The sequence below is a fragment of the Homo sapiens genome, chromosome 7, assembly GCF_000001405.40.
Source record: "Homo sapiens chromosome 7, GRCh38.p14 Primary Assembly".
Lineage (NCBI taxonomy): Eukaryota > Metazoa > Chordata > Mammalia > Primates > Hominidae > Homo > Homo sapiens.
The window spans coordinates 3,379,027-3,398,786 of NC_000007.14; the positions used below are offsets into that span (position 1 = coordinate 3,379,027).

The 19,760-nt window shown below is 36.5% G+C and overlaps 1 protein-coding gene across 1 annotated transcript in view; it reads left to right on the forward strand.

The window, feature by feature from the left end:
• SDK1 (sidekick cell adhesion molecule 1) overlaps positions 1-19,760 on the forward strand; it is a 967,749-nt gene that overhangs the window by 77,775 nt on the left and 870,214 nt on the right. The window lies entirely within an intron of this gene.

Sequence of the window (19,760 nt, forward strand, 5' to 3'; positions counted from 1 at the left end):
CTGCTTCTCCTGGCCTGTGCTGCACTGATAATGGGATTATGCTGAGCTTCTGCTGAGGAAACTTTTCAACTGACATGGGTTCCTTCTATTTCTTTAGATTTGCCATCATTGGTCCCGTCACTTTTCTAGAAATTTAATCTGTTCCACAACTCTTTATTGTGCGGGGCAATGTGCTGGGCATTAGAAAATAATGGTGAAGAGAAGACCTGTCACGATGGAGCTTATGTATGGTCTTGTTGGGGAGACAGGCATTAAACAATTAATTTGCACACACGTAGTTCTTGTTCTGTGAGGAGAAGTTGCCCTGCGCTGAGGGGGCATATGAAAAGGCTAACTTACTGGGAGAGGGGTTGCCATGGAAGTCCACCTGGAGCACGTGTGACAATTGACCTGAGATTCCAAGGAAGAAAAGGAGTGACTCAGTGACCGGGAATGGGGATAAGAGTGTTCCAAGCTTTGGAAACAGGATGGGGAAAGACCTTTATTCGTAGATGGAGGGGAACGGGGTCTGCCAGCATCACTCCTCAAGGACATTTACTATTGCTGTGGTTCATTTTCATTCTGTATTTTTCTTCTGTTTAATGGGATTTGGGAGGAAGAAAAAGATGAACTTGGTTTTGATCCAAGTAACCTCAGAGAATAATGACGTGGGAGCATTTTACAATGCAAACAATAAATGGAAAAGCATGAATTTATGTACTGTATGTGAAATATATAGACACATACATACATATAGGCTGAACATCCCAAATCCGAAATTTGCAATGTTCCAAAATCCAAAACTTCTTGAGCCACCTACATGATGCTCAAACTGAGTGCTCATTGGAGCATTTCAGATTTCGTATTTTTCTATTTGGGATGCTCAGCTAGTTGATATGAGGCAGATATTCCCAAATCTGAAAAAGATTCAAAACCTAATCCAAAAATCCAAAGGCTCTCTGGTCCTGAACCTTTCAGATAAGGGATTTTCAACCTGTATTTAATATTGGGAAGCAATATACCAATACCAAAAACGTTGTCTGTGAGAGGTGAGATGACAAATGATTTTTATTACCTTTTTAAAACTCCTAATTTGAATTTCAACTTTTCTATGACTGTGGATTGTTTTTATAATCAGAAAAAAAGTTCCTAAAATGATGTTTATCTTATGGTTTGGCTTATGTAAATGCAGAGTTTGTCACTAGGTCAATATCCGCAACATTATAAAGATGTTACTGTGTACTTACTGGAAATGGCCTGTGATTGGTGACAAAGCTGACTTACACAAAGGAGAACATTATCCTTAGGAATTCTTGCTAGTATCTCATAATGTAATTGTTTTAACGTTGTTAAATGGTTCACAGTGATCAGAGACTTAAAATCTTTGTCTCCTACACAGCGTTTTAAGAGTTACAGAAAAGCTATCATTTTGAGCTACCTTGAGACTGAAGTGTCTGCAGAATAGCACTTACATATTCAGGCTGACAATATGTGTTTGAGGAATTGGCGGTTCAGTTTGGCCAACTTTGGTGTTGTAACACTTGAGATTGTATTAAGCTGCAAGTAACAAATTCAGATGAACAGTTGCTTAACCAAGTAACTTAAAGGCACAAGCTTTAAGCTTTTAACGTTTTCAAGTTCAGGTCATGTAGGGGAGCTATGTCATTAAGGAGACTGACTCTTTCTGTCTTCTTGATTTACTGTAGAGTACGGCTTTTGACCTCATCATAACAGAGTGGCTGCTGCCCCTCTAGAAACTCCATCTGTGATTCAGGCGAAAGGGAAGGGCCTGCTAGTTGGCTTGTCCTTTTTATTTTTTATCAGAAAAATAGTAGCTTTCAAAGAAACCACCCCCATTAGACTTCCGTTTATATTTCAGTGACCAGAACTGTGAGAAAGCCGTCTTTAGCTGCAAGGAAACCTGAGAAATCAAGCTTTTGTGGTTATGTTTTTCAAACTGGAGCACATTGCTGTTCAAAACAAAATCAGAGTTCTGTTAATAAATAAGGAGAGAATGGATATTGGTAGGCAACTTGCTGTGTCAGCTGCAGGAGTTATGTGCTTAGAGGTGGTAATTGAAGTCAAGAGTGTGATTAACATTACTCAGGGGGAGTATACAGAGTAAGAAGAGAATCCATGAAGGGACTGAAAGGAAGTTTAGTGTTGAAGAGACTGGCAGAAGAATAGGTATTCTCAAAGGGAACCAAGAACGAGGGGCAAGTGGGAGGAGGTGGTCACCTGGAGGGTGTGGACCAGTGGTACACAGGTTAGGAGAGGGGGAAGGGCAGAGTTTACATTGCCCGTATGCTGGCGAGTGAAGTCCACTAGGAACTGAGACATGAACTTGAGGCTTAGCAAAAGAGAGCGACTTAGAGAAAGAGCACCCGCACTGGTGACTGTGGGCTGCATGGTGAAGGGGGGCAAAGCAGTGACAGCGGGAGTGAGCCCCTCTCAAAAACTGATGCCAACTACGCAGGACAGAGAGGGGGCGGGGAAGGGGGAGTGACCTGAGGGAGACTGGGGCTCAAGAAAAGCCTTTTTGTGTTGGTTGTTTTAAAGGCTGGCGATACTGTAGCATGCTTAGTTCTAAGGAGAGGAAGGGCCATTAAAGACGTTTGAGAAGGATCCTAGAAGGATTGTATTTTCCAACGGAGGTGGAAGGGGTTGAGATCCACAGCCCAGGGGATATGCTTTGAAGGAAGGAGAAAAGCACCTCTCCTTCCCTAAAAGAAGGCAGGAAAGGTGTGTGGACAGAAATTCTAGAGAGCATGAAATGCGGGTAATTGGGCTGCAATAAGAATCCAGTCATGGTTAGAGAACCTGAATTTAATTAAGGTCAGTGTATGTCTGTAGAGTGCCATTATCTTACATAGAAATTATTTTTGAAAATTTTAGTTGACATTTTTGAATGATACCTACTAGTACTACAGATAATAGAAGCATAAATATGCACAAAAGCAGTTAAAACTTAACCGTTCGTCTTAAAGTAATTTATAACTAATACTTATTGATGCCCTACTCTGTCTCAGTCAAAAAGCTAAACACCTTCCCTATGCACAAGAAAAACCTATGCAGTAGGCGTTACTAGTTGTCCTCATTTTATTTTTATTTTTTATTTTTTTTCAAACTTAAACATTTTTTTTTGTGTAGAGACAGGGTCTACCTTTGTTTCCCAGGCTGGTCTCCAACTCCTGGGCTCAAGTGATCCTCCCGCCTCTGCCTCCCAAAGTGCTGGGATTACAGGCATGAACCATAGCACCCACCCTTTATCCCCATTTTAAAGATGACAAAACCTAGGCTCAAAGAACTTAACATGTTCTAGATCACGTGGCTAGTAAGTGGTGACACCAGAATTTGAACCACGTATCTGACTCCAGAGTGGTGGTGCCAGCTGCTGTTCTGTGGATTGAGCCATATGAAATTGACTATTTAGCAAGAGAAATATAAAACATCGGCATTTTTATATGTCTCTACCTAATACACTTCCTCACCTCAATCATTGCCAAGGTCAGTGGACTGCTTACTTGGTGCCAGGCATTGCCCTAAGTGTTTTGATTGCCATAATCTGTTGTAATATTTTGAAATATTTGCAGTCTTAATTGTCCTGATTTAAAAAATCATGTTTTTGAATATGATAATATACTTTAAATGAGTATGTTTGATTAGCGATGTTGCTTTTTCCTATGTTGGCAAAATTATATTTTGAGGAAACGATTAGAAATATTGGCAAAACATAGAGAAAAATCATTACACATCTAGTGTCTCACAACATGAATAGTTTTTTGGGGCATTTTTCACAACATCTGATTCATTGAGTGGTAGTCCCCCAAGAGATACCTGTGAATTGGTTTTTAATTCAGTAGATTTCTGTTTTATTGTATATTTGTTGACTTGTGATCAACATATATTCTCTTCTATTTTTGAAGCTTATTTTGGGTAAAAAGAAAGATTACCTTTCTATCTTCTCACTTTATCCCCAACTTATGAATACCATAGGTATCAACCAGTGATATTACTAGCAAATCACCCACTCTCCCACTTTACTAATAAAATGTTGTCTTGAATTCTTGCATTTCCGCTAAAAAAAATCCCATTCAAAATTATGAATTTAGAAATGGGATGAAAGCTGAGTGCAGTGGCTCAGGCCTATAATCCTGGCAATTTGAAAGGCTGAGGTGGGGGGATCAATTGAGCCAAGAATGTGAGACCAGCCTGGGCAATAGTGAGACCCTGTCACTACCAAAACATAACAAAAATTAGCCTGGTGTGGTGGCATGTGCCTGTGGTTCCAGCTACTAGGGAGACTGAGATGGAAGGATCACTTGAGCCCCAGAGGTTAAGATTGCAGTGAATTATGATTGTGCCACTGCACTCCAGCCTGGGTGACAGCGAGACCCTGTTTCTATTAAAAAAACACATGGGGTGATTTCCCTCTCCCCAGTTTGGAAGTCTTCAATAAAAGGATAAAAAGATGTGAAGCGGTTTTAGCCATCTCTTTTTGGCCTCCATGTAATCAGATTTTGTGCTTATTTGAGACACTTAAAAAGTATCTGGCTAATTGTGCTCTCTGTTTTGAGGACCTGATCTTAAACTGGATGGTCTTGATATTTTCGTGTAACTTTTAGTTCAGGTACAAGAATTCTTTAAAGAGGCATGGACAATTAATTACACGACTGAGAAAAATAATTTCCCCCAAGTTAATTGCACAAATTACTGTAGCCCTAAAAGGTTAATGATTATCAAACATCTTTGATGCATAGAGCCTATTAAATGCCAGTATCATTTGAATAATTTAACTAGAGTAGTCCTTTCACAAATGGGTCTCATCCAAAGGACAACAGTAAATAGTGCCTTTAAAAATATTTTCTCTTTAGAGAAACGTGTTCAAACCCTTCAGCTGGAGTCAATCTTATGGGTCACAACACATTCTTACATTTCAGAATATAAGACATTAAAACATTTTATATTTTAAATGATTTAGATCATTTATTATCCTTATAGAACTACTGAGGTTTTACTTGAAGCTTGTAAGTTAAATTTTTGTATTTTATACAGAGTTAGCTTAGGCCGTGATTAGGTAGAAATAATGGGCAGTTATCACTGTATTTATTTGAAATGAAACTTCTTTTACAGCTATTCATGGAAGAAAACTTTAATATTGTATTAAAGCTTTTATTTTATCTTTAAATGCCAACTTTATTATGTATTTCTTAAAATTGATCTTCCAGTATTTTTTATGTATACTTTTTAGTGCTTTATAGTTATTAGCAGGTTCCACAGTAGTAACTGAAATATACTCTGATTTTCATTTTTATTTTATAAAACTTTGATTTTTAATAACATATGCTGAAGGACACTCTGAAGAGTACTAATTTTTTTCAGGGATGCTTTTCCAAAAAGGATTCTGTGGTTCAATAAACTTGGGAAAGACTGCGTCCTATATGCTTTTAGAAGAGTCACAGTGTATACTCACATACTGAAGGATTTGAGAAATGCTAGAGCAAATAAATCTAACGTTGTCTAACCCAGTGTTTCCCAAGCTTGTCTGAAGACAGACATTTCCACTCTTGTTTTACATCATACCCTCGAACATCGAAGGACTTCGCTGATTTGTGTTCTACACAACCGTCTTGAGATACGCTGTTAGATTAGCTGTAGCTTCCCTTGCCACATCGCGAATTTCCAGCATTCAAATGCAGCAGGCATGTTTATCTGCTGCACTTACACCTACGTGTACATATGTATATAAATATACCAGTATACATCAATATGTACATTTGAAGCGTATATGCACACTTACATAGGTACACACATATATGTATGCTTGTATTTTTATTTTACTTACTGCAGTACCCGTAGTATATAGCAGATAGTGAAATCAGAAAATAATTGTTGAGTAAATGGATGAGAGAGTTTCACCAGTCTGTGGCATACGCCCTGCTGCCTTCTTCAGGATGCAGAAAACCCTGTCCCCTGGCTTAAAGTGTGACATTCTGGAGAAAGTAGATGTGCTCTCTCTAGAGACACCTGAAACATCAAACACAAACAGTTTGTCAGTACTGTTTCAATATTAAGTCTGTCAGAGGGAAAAGACCCTGAATTTTGGGTCAGGAGACCTGGGTTCAGGTATGGATTCTACCACTTTCCACTCACGTCATCTTAGGCAAGTTATGGGCTTTTTCTGAGCCTCAGTTTTTCTCCTCTATGAATTGATAATACCTTGTAAGACTGTTGAAATATCTATAGAAGACATCAAAAACTTATTTTTAACCAATTGGAAGGTACGCTGTGAATGTATTATCCTGATACAGGTGAAAGCTTTATTAAAAAACAAATGTAACTTAACATTTCCATTTCATATATATAGGGGAAGAAAATTCCCATTTTTTGGTGAAGATACTAATTTTCATAAGTAATGAACATAAAAAAATATATTTTTTTACTGTTAGCAGACAATAATTTTTTTTCTACTGTTTAAAAACTTCCATCCTTTTTTTCTAATAAAAAAACTCCAGAATCTTCCTGGATTAGCCTCAGACCCATCGCACCTGCTGGTCTCTCTGCCTGGAATCTTCTTTAAAACAAGGTGACTTGCCATTTCTTTCCATCTTATTTCAGCTCTCAGTCAACCTCTCACTTCCCTGCCCACCAAAATACAGCCCCCGTATGTATCTCTTTATCCCTTTACCTACTTTATTTTCCTTTATAATTCTTATCAGACATTTTATTGCACATATCATTAGTGAGGTGAGATGGAGATCATATTTTGTGGCGATTAGTAAGGGATTGTAATATCTCTCAATAACAAAATTGCTTTAGACCAAATTTTTGTTTGCTTATATGATTTTTACACCCATTATTTCAGCACTTTAATGACTCTGTCAGATGTATAGGTTAGTTAGTAGTCATACTTCTGTAAAATTCTCTAGTAGAATCAAAATACATGTGCTCTCCCTTTCCTCTGCATGGATTTTTTTTTTCCACATGAGGGAAGCTGTGGTAAATAATGTTATAGATTTTCACTCGTTAGTAATATTACTCAAATAAACGATGGGAAAATGTTTCTCTTGACAGGATTGAGTAGGTAGACATAGGAATTCATGGAACCACTTATGTTAAAATTGATAACTTTAAAAAAAATTGGATAGCAGAAATAAGACTTGTTTTATGTATTAGCATCCAGCCAAATTATCATAACTGATTGTGTAGTGTAAGGTTAGTGATACAAAGATGTGCAAGATTTGGTTTTATACTTTATCTATTAGAAGTTTGGGTTTGGTGATACTTTTAATACCATGCAGATTGCAGTTTTAGCTATCATGAATTTCTGAATATTTTATGTAAAACAAAGATGTTGCCTTTAAAAGAGTTAAAGTTGAAGTTTTTTAGGCTAGAATGTGATTTAGCTTTATATAGCTTTTTGTCAGACTCTTGGAATCATTTCAAAACACACTCATATTTTGTTTAGAGTTAACAGAGCTGTCTAGAAGTAATTTCTAGTTTCTCCTAGGCTACTCATGATGTTTGAATTATTTTCCGTATTCTCTGCTGAGAGATTCTTGTGGAAGTAGACTTTCTGAGCTTCTATAAACATTTTCCTTCTGGAACTATGCCCAGTCCACCTGTTCACCATTTACAGGGAAATGCTGCTTTCCTAATGAAAATCAAGCCCAGATTTTCCAGTTCAGCTTCTGTAGGTAGGGAGTGCAGCTGTACTGGGCAGCCTCCAGTGAGTCCCGGGGACTTGACTTCTTGCAGGTTTTCTGCTGATGGCAGCTGCTATCACCATGTTTATCTTTTGGGGGACTGGATGCTGCTCCTTCTTCAACGTTTTGGCCCAAGAGTAGACAACATATGTCATAACTAACACAAGGCTGTCATGTTTAAAGACATCTTTACTGAATGCTGCAGAGGAATAAAGAGAGGAAAACCCAGAGAGCTCCATGAATCATGAATTCAGGCATTCTAACTTTAGAGCTATGGCACATTCATCTTCAGTTAGTTGAGATGGTTGCTTGCATGTAAGTGGCTTTTCACATTTCAAAAATGGTTTCCCAAGTGAGCATATGTTTACTCTTGGCTGACACGCCTCTGAACCAGCCCCAAGTTGGTGTGCATGGTGCTAGGGCATGATTTCAGGCCCGACTCATACCCCCAAGCTAGACACCTTTGTGCAGAGTACATCTATATGTGTACTAGGGATTGCCTACTGAGGTTTTTCCTAGTTCTCCCTTTACCTTCAGAAGGCATAGAGCACCTTTAATAGCCCTCCTGCCTTGGCCCTCATCCTCCCTCCCCACCAACCCCTGAATTCCTTTAGAGATTCCTCATCTCCTCAAAGTCCAGAGGTGGGCTGTCTTCTCCCACCTCCTTGTAGGAGCTCACCCTGATGAAGGTTATTTCATTTCTGAAGCTCTGTCTCCTTTTTGGCAACTGGCACCAGCAAGGATCAGATCCTTCTAAAACTGTCTCCTGTTTATAACAGAATCTGACACTTCCAACATCATGTAAGAGCTGCATATGCCAATCACAGTGGAGTTTTTAATCCTGTACCCAGGTCTGTTGTGAGGATAAATGGTAATTCCCATTGCATTTTTGTGTGTGATAAAGTATATTGCTTAAGAGAGTTCTGGGGATGTATAGTGGTGATGATTACACAACGATGTGAATGTATGTAGTATCACTGAACTGTACATTTAATGTTTAAGGTGGTAATCTTTTGTTACCTGTCTATTACCACAATAAAAATGGAAAAATATATTGCTTAATAAAATAATACTTGATAAAGTCCATGCAGTGTTTACTACATGTCAGTACCATTTTGAACATTGTACACGTTGCGGTTTACTTAATCCTCACAACAACCCTGTTAAGTAGCTAATATTATAATCCTTATTTGACACATGAGAAAAATGTGCTACATAGAAGTTACATAATTTGCTATTAAGTGAGAGAACGAGATTCAAACCAAAGTTGTTTAGCTCCATAGCTCATGCTGTCAACCACTATGTTAATACAAATCTGCATTGTCCTAATTTTATTCTATATTTATGTTCAGATAGAAGGCACTCTGGGAATCTGGAGACTGGGGTTCTCAGTTCTGGCTCTGTGACTGCACCACATTTGTGACTGTGACCAGAGTAGCTTCTCTAGTCTTCAGTTATTTTAGTTATAAAATGAGATGGGATAAGGTTCACTGTTAAATTTCTATTTATAAATGCTGTGGATGTGTATATATTTTTATGTATGTAAAGTTCTGAGGTTGAATAAGCCTTATTTTCTCTGTGGTCTAAACCATACCTATGGAATCTCATCTGTCAAACGCTATGTGATTGAAGATTAAAAAAAAAATCTCATCTGTCAAACGCTATGTGATTGAAGATTAAAAAAAAAAAAGGAAAATTTTATTTGAAGAGACTGGGTCTCATTTTGTTGCCCAGACTTGAGTGCAGTGGCAAGATCATAGCTCATTGTATTCTCAAACTCCTAGGCTCAAGCGATCCCCCCATCTTAGCTTCCCAAAGAATTGTTATTAAATCTCATTTAGAAAAGTTGAATTTCTCAAATATTAACTTTGATGATATAATACTCACCACATAAGTAGTAGTTGTGTGTACTTTCTAGTTTGAAACGTATAAGCTGTTTCGTGCATTAGTGGAGATGAGATATTAAAAATTATTCCTTGACATTTTTAAGAGTTGATAAAGGGAGAATTTTATAAAGTATGATATATGTAACTATATTATATTATGGGATGCAATTTTAAATGAGATTTCTGTCACACTAAGTCAACGTGTGTTTATCGAGTACCTACTGTGTCAGGCACATGCTTGATGCTAGAGTATACAGATGATAAAGAGAAGGTGGCCTGCCCAAATGGAGTTTACATTCCAGTGGGAAAGCTGGTAATCAACAAGTAAACAAATGAGAGAATACAATTAATAGCAGCCGTGATACCTGCTGGAAAGGAAATAGCATTATCCTGTGATACAGAATCACTGATGGGGTCAACTTTTTGGTAGCGTAGTTTGGAAAGGCCTCTCAGGAAATGACATTTTAAGTAAAAGCTGACAGAAGGACCACAAGGAATGAGTGGTGGGAGGAATAAGGGCAGATGTAAAGGAGTGGGGGGAGAATAGCATTCTAGACAAATGTGGAAGGCTAAATAATGTTACCCCAATGATGTCCAGGTTCTAATTCCTAGAACCAGTGAATGTTACCTTCAGTGATAAAATGAGACTACAGATATGATTAAGTTAAAGATTTTGAGATGGAGAGATTATCCTGGATTATCTGGGTGGGCTCCAAATACAATTACAAGTGACCTTATAAGAGAGAGGAAACAGGATATTTAACTAAAGAGAAGACAACTACGAGACATAAACAGAGCAAAGCAGAGTCAGAGAAAATGCTACACCTCTGGTATTGAAGTTGGAGGAATGGGCCATGAGCCAAGGACAAGGGAGTGTAGCTCTACCATCACCTTCACTGTCATTCCTTTAGACTCATATTTTGGACTTCTGGCCTCTAGGACTGTAAGATAATAAAGGTATGTTATTTTAAGCCATAGGTCTATTGTAGTTTGTTACAGCAGCAACAGAAAACTAATACAGGATAGGTGTGGTGGCTCAAGTCTGTAGTCCAAGCTACTCAGGAGGCTGAGGCAGGGGAATTGCTTGAGCCTGGGAGGTAGAGGGAGCAGTGAGCTGTGATCGTGCCACTGCACTCCACAGCCTGGGCAACAGAAATAAACAAAAACAAAAAACTAACGTGGAAGTTGGTACCTGGAGGTGGGGTGCTGTGGTAACAAATATCTGAAAATGTGGAAGCAGCTTTAGAAGTGGTGATTGAGTAGAGGCTTGAAAAATTTTGAGGTACATGATTAAAAAACCCCAGGTTGCCTTGAACAGACTGTTCAAGTGTTTAATGTAGATATTAAAGACTGCTGGTGAGGGCTTAGAAGGAAATGAGCTTGTTATTGGTAAGTGGGGGAAAGTGGATCATTGTTATATAGTGGCAGAAACTGTAGCTGAATTGTGTCTTAGAGCTCTACGGAAAGCAGAATTTGTAAGTGATGAAGTTGGCTATTTAGGAGGAGATTTCCAAGCAAATTGTTGAAGGTACTGCTTGGATTCTTCTTGCTGCTTATAGTAAAATGTGAGAAGAAATTCTAACTGTGGTCTGCAGCTTCAGCTTCATGCCGGAGGGTTCCAGGGTGCCCTTTCTGACAGCCTGCCCTACAAACTATACTTTGAATAGCAGGGTTGTAGAGAATCATATTTATTCATTTAGAATGTCAAATATATCTCTATAAAAGAGTTTAGCTTTGCTCATCAGCCTTTTAAATGTTTACCACTGACAGTGACTTCACTGATCTAATTACAGTTATCGAAGCCAATATTGTAAGAACTGTGCATCCTCTTATTGTGCACAATTGATCTGGAAGCATCTTTCCTATACCGAGTTAAATAGTGTCACCCCAGAAAAGTTATTTTCACCTATGAATGTGAGTTTATTTGGAAATTGGGCTTTTGCAGATGTAATTAAATAAGATGAGGTCATACAGGATTAGACCGGACTATAATCCAATGACTAGTATCCTTATATGATGAGGGGGCTTTGGACATAGGGACACATAGGGAGAGTGCCATGTGCAGATAGACGCAGATATTGGAGTTATGCTGCCGAAGTCAATAATGCCAAGTATTGTTGGAACCACCAGAAGCTAGGAGAGAGGTGGAACAAATTCTCCCTTTGAGCCCTCAGGAAGGAACCAAAGCTACTGAAACTTGATCTTGGACTTCTGGCCTCCAGAGCTGAGAGAATAAATATCTGTTGTTTTAGGACATTCAGTTTGTGGCATTTTGTTATGGTAGCCCTAGGAAATGAATATGTCTTCTGACAAGTAAAAGTAAAATAGTGGACTCTAACAAATTAATTTTTAAGCACCCAACAGAAAATGTCACTCTTCCACAGAGCCAATGTCTATACTATGGCTGTTTTCCAGTTTTGGAGTTCTGGAAGTTTGTTAGCTACCATTGCTCTTTGAGTAATTCTTAAACCTTTTATACCAGGTCACATTTAGAATAGAATATAAAAACCTTGGACACAAAATCAAAGTTCATACCAGATCAAGAGGGGACAAAAATGGACTAGAAGGAAGGTTACATAAAGTGGTACTATGTCTTCTGCAATTTGTTTGTTTTCTTGTAATATTTGCCCTGAGCTCACCAGCGAAATAATAGATAGACTCCATAGAAGTCAACTCTTAAAAATGACTTTTCTGTCATTCTTTACCTCCATCCTATCAAGCACACATGACCTTGGTTCCATTGTGCAGGACTTAGGAACACACTTTGAATGTAAGCAGTTTCTTCTAGCATTGCTGGAAGTAAAAGGATGCCTCATCTTAAGGAATAGAGTTGTTTCTGGAGGTCTTGCTTAAGCGTACATTTGGAAGTGATTTTTTTTTTCCTTTACGTTTTCTGTTGTAGAATAAAAAATTTCTTTCCACAAAGGAATTATTATACCCAAAATATGTTTAAAAACAATTTAAAAGTATATATATGTACAGTGGCACTGGCTTTCAGAGAAAAGAATAAAAGTATATACATGTATCCTGTTAACTGATTTTTTTTTTTTTTTTTTTGAGACAGGGTCTTGCTCTGTCTCCTGGGTTAGAGTGCAGTGGCATGATCATGGCTCACTGCAACCTCCGCTTGCCAGGTTTAAGTGATCCTCCTGTCTCAGCCTCCCGAGTAGCTGGTGTGTGCCATAATGCCTGGCTAATTTTTGTATTTTTTTGTAGAGGTGAGGTTTTGCTATGTTGCCCAGGCTGGTCTCAAACTCCTGAGCTCAAGCAATGCACCTGCGTTGCCCTCCCAAAGTGATGGGATCACAGGTGTCAACCGCCATGTTTGGCCAACAACTGAAATATTTTTAAAAGTATGTATATCATGTAATATATATATATATATATATATGCATGCTACCTAAGCTTAAATGCAACAAAGACCATACAAGGCTTTTATGGAGACAAATAAATGCACCTGTGTACCACATTCATGATAGAAAGTATTAGTATTATAAAGATGCCCATCATGTCCACATTAATCCATAAATTCAGTTCTAATCAGTAACTGAACGCTTAAAACCTTTGCATAACAGACATTTTCAAACTTTACAGAAGTAAAGAGAAAAGCATGATGAACCCCATGTACTCTAGCAAATTCCACTTGTGACCAATGATTTCTTAGAAATGTATCATTATTAACTTATGAGACTTTAAAATACACTTGAGGTATTTAATTCATGTCATTCGTTTTTATTGAAACTCAAATTGTCAAATCTTTGTCCAATTGTGGTGCCTTTAAGTTGGATCTTGTGACCTTTTGACATGACTCCATTAGTTTTCTTTTATATATACTTTTATGGTGGTAAAATATATATACACACATATAGCATAGAATTTGTCATTTTAACCATTTAAAAAGTGCAGTTCAGTGACATTCATTGTATTCAGTGTTGTATGGCCATCACCATTATTTATTTCCAAAACGTCTTTGTCATTTCAAACAGAAACTGCAACTTCTAAGCAATAATTTCCCATTTCTTCCTCCCTCCAACCCTGGTAACTTCTAATCTCCTTTTTGTCTTTATGAATTTGTCTACTCTAGGTATTTATGTAAAATCATACAACACATATCTTTTTTTACCTAACTTATTTAATAATTTTATTTTCATGATGTTTTCAAGATTCATTCATATTATAGCATGTAACAGAACTTAATTCCTTTTTTGGCTGAATAATAATATTCCAGTGTATGCGTATATCGCATTTCGTGTATTCATTCATTTGTTGATGGACACTTGGGTTGTTGCCTCCTTTTGGCTATTGCAAATATTGCTCATGATGAACATTGGCTTACAGGTATCTGTTTGAGTCCCTGTTTTAAATTTTTTTTTTTTTTTTTTTCTTTTTTGAGATGGAGTTTTGCTCTTGTTCCCCAGGCTGTAGTACAGTGGCGTGATCTCAGCTCACTGCAATCTCCGCCTCCTAGGTTCAAGCGATTGTCCTGTCTCAGTCTCCTGAGTAGCTGAGATTACAGGTGCCTGCCACCACGCCTGGCTAATTTTTTGTATTTTTAGTAGAGGTGGGGTTTCATCATGTTGGCCAGCCTGGTCTTGAACTCCTGACCTCAGGTGATCCACCTACCTCAGCCTCCCACAGTGCTGGGATTACAGGTATAAGCCACCACACCCGGCCCCTATTTTCAGTTCTTTTGGATGTATACCCAGGAGTGAAGTTGTTCAATCATATGATAATTCTGTGTTTAGCTTTATGAGGAAATGCCAAAATGTTTTTCACAGTGGCTGCACCATTATACTACTTAACAGAAATGTTTGAGAGTTCCAACTTTTTTACATTCTTGCCAACATGTTATTTTTAATTTTCCTTTCCTATAGCTATGTGAAGTGGTATCTGTACAGAAATGTTCATTGCAGCACAGTCAAGTGAAAAACAACTCAAGGGAATATCGGGAAAGAGTAGATAAAACTGGATTATTCGCAGATCAGAATACTACGTAGCAGTTAAAATGAATGGGCTACAAGTTAAAATGAATGTGATTCTGTTGCATTCTTCAGTACTTCAGTTACATTTTTCAACTCCAGAATTTCTGCTTGATTCTTTTTAATTATTTCAATCTCTGTTAAATTTATCTGATAGTATTCTGAATTTTTTCTCTGTGTTTTCTTGAATTTGAGTTTCTTCAAAACAGCTATTTTGAGTTCTTGAAAGGTCATGTATATCTGTTTCTTAAGGATTGTTCACTGTTGTCTTATTTAGTTCAGTTTGTGAGGTCGTGTTTTCCCGGATGGTCTTGATGCTTGTGGATGTTTGTCAGTATCTGAGCTTTAAAGAGTTAGGCATTTATTATAGTGTTCATCATTTGGGCTTATTTGTACCCATCCTTCTTGGGAAGGCTTTCCAGATATTCAAAAGGAGTTGGGTAAGCCATATCTGCATTAGGGGGCACCCTAAGGCCAGTAACACTGGTTCTTGCAGACTTCTATAGGTACTGTCTTGGTAGTCTTGGATAAGATCCAGAAGAACTCTCTGGATTACCAGACAGAGATATTGTTCTCCTCCTTTTCTCCCAAACACATGGAGTCAGTCTCTCCTCTACTTCTCCCCCGACCCTCATTTTGAGTTAACTTTGTGTAGGGTCTAAGATCATCTTTTTGCATGTGGATATCCAATTGTTCTGGTTTTATTTGGTGAACGTATTATCTATTCCCTAGTGTATTGCCTTGGCATGTTTGTTAAAAATCAGTGGATAATAAATATAAGAATTTATTGCTGGATTCGTAATTATGTGCCATTGATCAATGATTTTTATTAGTACTATAATGCTTTGATCACTGTACCTTTATATAAGATTTGAAATTTAGAAAAGACCTCCAGTTTTTTTTCAAAATTGTTTTGATTATTCTAAATGTTTTGCATTTTCATTTGCATTTTAGGACCTGCTTATCAATTTCTGTGGGAATAAGCCTCCTGGAATTTGATAGGGATTATTTTGAATGTATAGATCAATTTGGGGAGAATTGCCATTTTAACAATATTGAGTCTTTCGATCCATAAATATTGAATGTCTCATCATTTAAAAAAACTTGAATTTTCTTCAAAGCTTTATAATTTTTACAGTACAAGTCTTGTTCTTATGTTACCTTTATTTGTATGTACTTTTTTAATGCTATTGTGAATGTGTCTCTTAATTTTACTTCCAGATTGTTTATTGCTTATAGAAATATAATTGATTTTTATATATTGATCTTGTATTATATCCTGTGAACTAGATGTGCTTTTTAAAAATTAGTTCTAATAGTTTTTTTGTGGACTCTTTGGGGTTTTCTATATACAGGATCATGTCATCTTCAAACAAAGACAGTTTTACCACTTTCTTTACAAACCGAATGTCTTTTATTTGTTTTTCTTGGGTGGTTAGAGCTTCCAGTGCTGTGCTGAATAGAGGAGATGAGAGTGGACATCTGTGCCTTTTACCCTGTCTTAGAGGAAAAGAATTTGGTCTTTCACCAATATGTATTATATTCACTGTAGGTTTTTTGCACATGTTACCAGGTTCTATTCTAAGGTTGCTGAGACTTTTTATCTTGAATGCACATTGGATTTTGTCAAATGTTTTCTCTGTACCTGTTGAGATGTTCATTTGGTTTTTATTCTGTATTAATATGATGCATTACTTTAATTGATTTTTAGCTGTTAAAACCTCACATTTCTGGGGTAATTAAAAAAGATGGCTTATCATCTTTTTTTATATGTTGTTGAATTTGGTTCACTAATATTTTATTGAGGATTTTTGCATCTGTGTTTGTGAGAGATACTGGTTTGTAGTTTTCCTTTCTGGTAATAATTTGTCTCGCTTTGCTATCAGGGTGTTATTGCATCCCATAATGAGTGGGAATATTCTAGAATGAGATGTGAGTAATATTCTTAAATCTACTTCTTATACTTCTCGGAAGAATTTGTGGAGTATTAATATTATTTCCTCCTTCAGTGTTTGATGAAATTCCCCAGTGAAGGAATCTGAGCCTGGACTTTTCTTTGTGGGAACATATTTTAAAAGCTCATTTAATTTTTGTACTTGCTGTAGATGTATTGAGATTTTCTATTCCTTCTTTAGTCAGTTTTGGTCATTCGTGACTTTTTAGGAATTTGTCTATTTAAGTTGTTGAATTTGTTGGCGTAAAGTTGTTAATATTTCTTTGTCTTTCTAATCTGTGAGGGGTCAGTGGTAATCATCTCTCTTTCATTCCTGATTTTTGTGGTTTTCTTTCTCTCTCTCTTTGCCAAGGGTTTGCCAATTTTGTTTTTAAAGAACCACCTTTTAATTTTTCCTCTGTTGTTTTTCTGTTTTACATTTCTTTAATTTCTCCTGTCATCTTTATTTTCTTCATTCTGTTTTCCCTTGATATGGTTTAGTCTTCTGTTTTCTACATTTTAAAGGTGAATTCTTAGATTATTGATTTGAGATTTTTTTCTTTAATATAGGAATGTTAACACTATACGTTTTTTTCTAAGTCTTGTGTTAGCTGCATCTCATACACTTGGACATGAGTTGTATTTCTATTATTCAGATTAAAATACTTGCTCATTCCCCCTTGTAATTTTAAAAAAATTTTTCTTTGACCCGTATTTAGAAATAACTGCATTATTGTTGGTAAATATACTTTATACGATTTTAATCCTTTTAAATCTGCTAATGCTTTCTTTGTGGTCCAGCATATGACTTATCTTGGGTTCTATGGCAGCTTGAAAAGAATGATTATTTTGCTGCTGTTGTGTGGAGTGTGCTTTAGATGTGTGTTAAGGTAAGTTGATTGGCAGTGTTATAAGTCTTCTGTATTTTTGTTGATCTTCTGTCTACTTGTTCTATTCATTATTGAAAATTGAAATGTTCAACTATTGTTTCTCTTTAATTTTGTCAGTTTTAGTTTTATGTATTTTGGACCCCTGTTACTGCATACATATTTATAAATTGTTATCTTTACCTGCTGAATTACCCTCTTATTATAAAATTTCCTTTTCTTTCTAGTAACAATTTTTGTCTTTAAATTCATTTTGTCTGATATTAATATAGCTGTCCTCTGATTACTGTTTTCATGATATATCTTTTCCCATCCTTTTGTTTTCAACTGATCTGTATCTTTGTATCTAATGTGAATCTCTTCCAGACAGCATATGGTTGTCAAGTTTATTTTTCTCAGTCTATACTGTTAATCTGCACCTTTTGATTAGATGGTCTAATTCATTTATATTTATTTATATTTAATGTAATTATTAAGATTTAAGTATACCTTTTCATTATATGTTTTCTATAAATGTTATATATTTTTTGTTCCTTCATTCCTCCATGACTGCTTTCTTTTGTGTTAAATGGATTCTTTTCTTAAATGCATCATTCTTGTTGTTTCTTTTAGTATATATTTTGAGTTACTTTCTTAGTGGTTATCCTGGGGATCATAACAAATAACTTAAAATTCAGTTCAGGTTAATCCTGGCATAATTTCAAACATACACAGAATTTTTTCTCACTTGCATGCTTTTTTTGCCTTATAAATTATGTATTTATATGTTATAAGCCTATCAACAAAGTTTTATAATTATTGCTTTATACAGTTGCCTTTTAAAACAAATAGGAGAAAAGCGTTCTCAAAAACAATTATATTGTATTTTATATTTACCTATTTAATTGCCTTTATTGGTACTTTCAAATTTTTTTCATATGGATTTGAATTACTTCAGCTGGAAGTAATCCTTTAGTGTTTCTTGTAGAGCAATTCTGCTGGTGACAAATTCTCTCATTTTTTCTTTATATGGGAATATTTTAATTTTCGTTTTTGAAGGATAGTTTTGCTGGATATATAATTTTTGGTTCGTAGTCTTTTCTTTCCCCCCCCCAGCGCTTTGAATATGTCACATCAGTGCCTTCTGGTCTTTATGGTTTCTAACAAGAAGTCAGCTGTTAATCTTATAGAGGATTCCCTGTAATATGCAAGTCATTTTTTCTGTTGTTTTACAGATTCTGTCTTTGAACATTTTGTCTTAATGTGTGTTTGACTCTTTGAGTTACCCTATTTGGAGTTCATTGAACTTCTTGGATATGTAATTTAATGTTTCTCATCAAACTAGACATTTTTGGCTATCATTTCTGTTGTAGTGTTTTTGCGGTTTTTAAAAATTTGTTCTTAGGGTTTTTATCTCTGCTTACATTACCCACCTCTTCTTGCATGTTTTACACTTTTTTCCATTAGAGCTTTTGGCATATTAATCATAGTTATGAATTTCTGGTTTGATAATTACATAATCTCTGCCATATATGAGTCTGATTCTGATGCTTGCTTTGCCCCTTCAGATTGTGTGTTTTCTTGCCTTTCAGCATGCCTTGTAATTTTTTGTGGAAAGCCAGGCATGATGTACTGAGTAGCAGGAACTGAAGTAGTAAATAGGTCTTCAGTGTGAGGTTTTGTTTATCTGGCTTGTAGGTTTAACGTTTTCTATAACTGTAGGTTTAACGTTTTCTGTAACTGTAGGTTTTCTGTAGCTGTAGGTTTTTCTGTAACTGTAGGTTTCACAGGCTTTAGTTTCCCGTAGTATCCTTGCTTTTTTCTCCTTTATTTTCTTTGGGCTTCCCTAGAAATACCGCCTTAAGTAGAGTCTGTACCTTGCAGCTATTTTAGTTGTAATCCACTGTTGTTCTATTAGAGCCCTGTTGATGTAGTGATAAGGTGTTGCGGAGAGGAAACATTCTATAATCTTGTGATAAACCTCAGATTTGTTTAGTAGGCCTGAGTCCCTGGGCTGTGACCTTCAGAAGAGTTTCTTAGCATTTTTTTTTCTCCTCTTCTGTGAGACAGGGATGCTAGAGGGGACTGAGTTGTATAATCACCTTCCCCTAGGTCACATAAAGTTCTGACAAAGTAGTTTCCCTTGGGAGAAGGCCTTTATTATATAGAACAGAAGGCTCCGGGCATATTTCAAAATACTTTTCCCCAGATGCATTTTGGCATGCTTACTTTTCCCCTTGCCCTTGCTGAGCACATGATTTATTTATTATTTTATTTTTATTTTTATTTATTTATTTTTTTAACCTCCAGTCTTCACCAGGAGAACATAGTGGGACTTCTGGGGGTAAAACTTATGAAAGTGTATGGGTCCCCTAAGACTGAGCCCCCAGTAGTTTTTTTTTTTTTTTTTC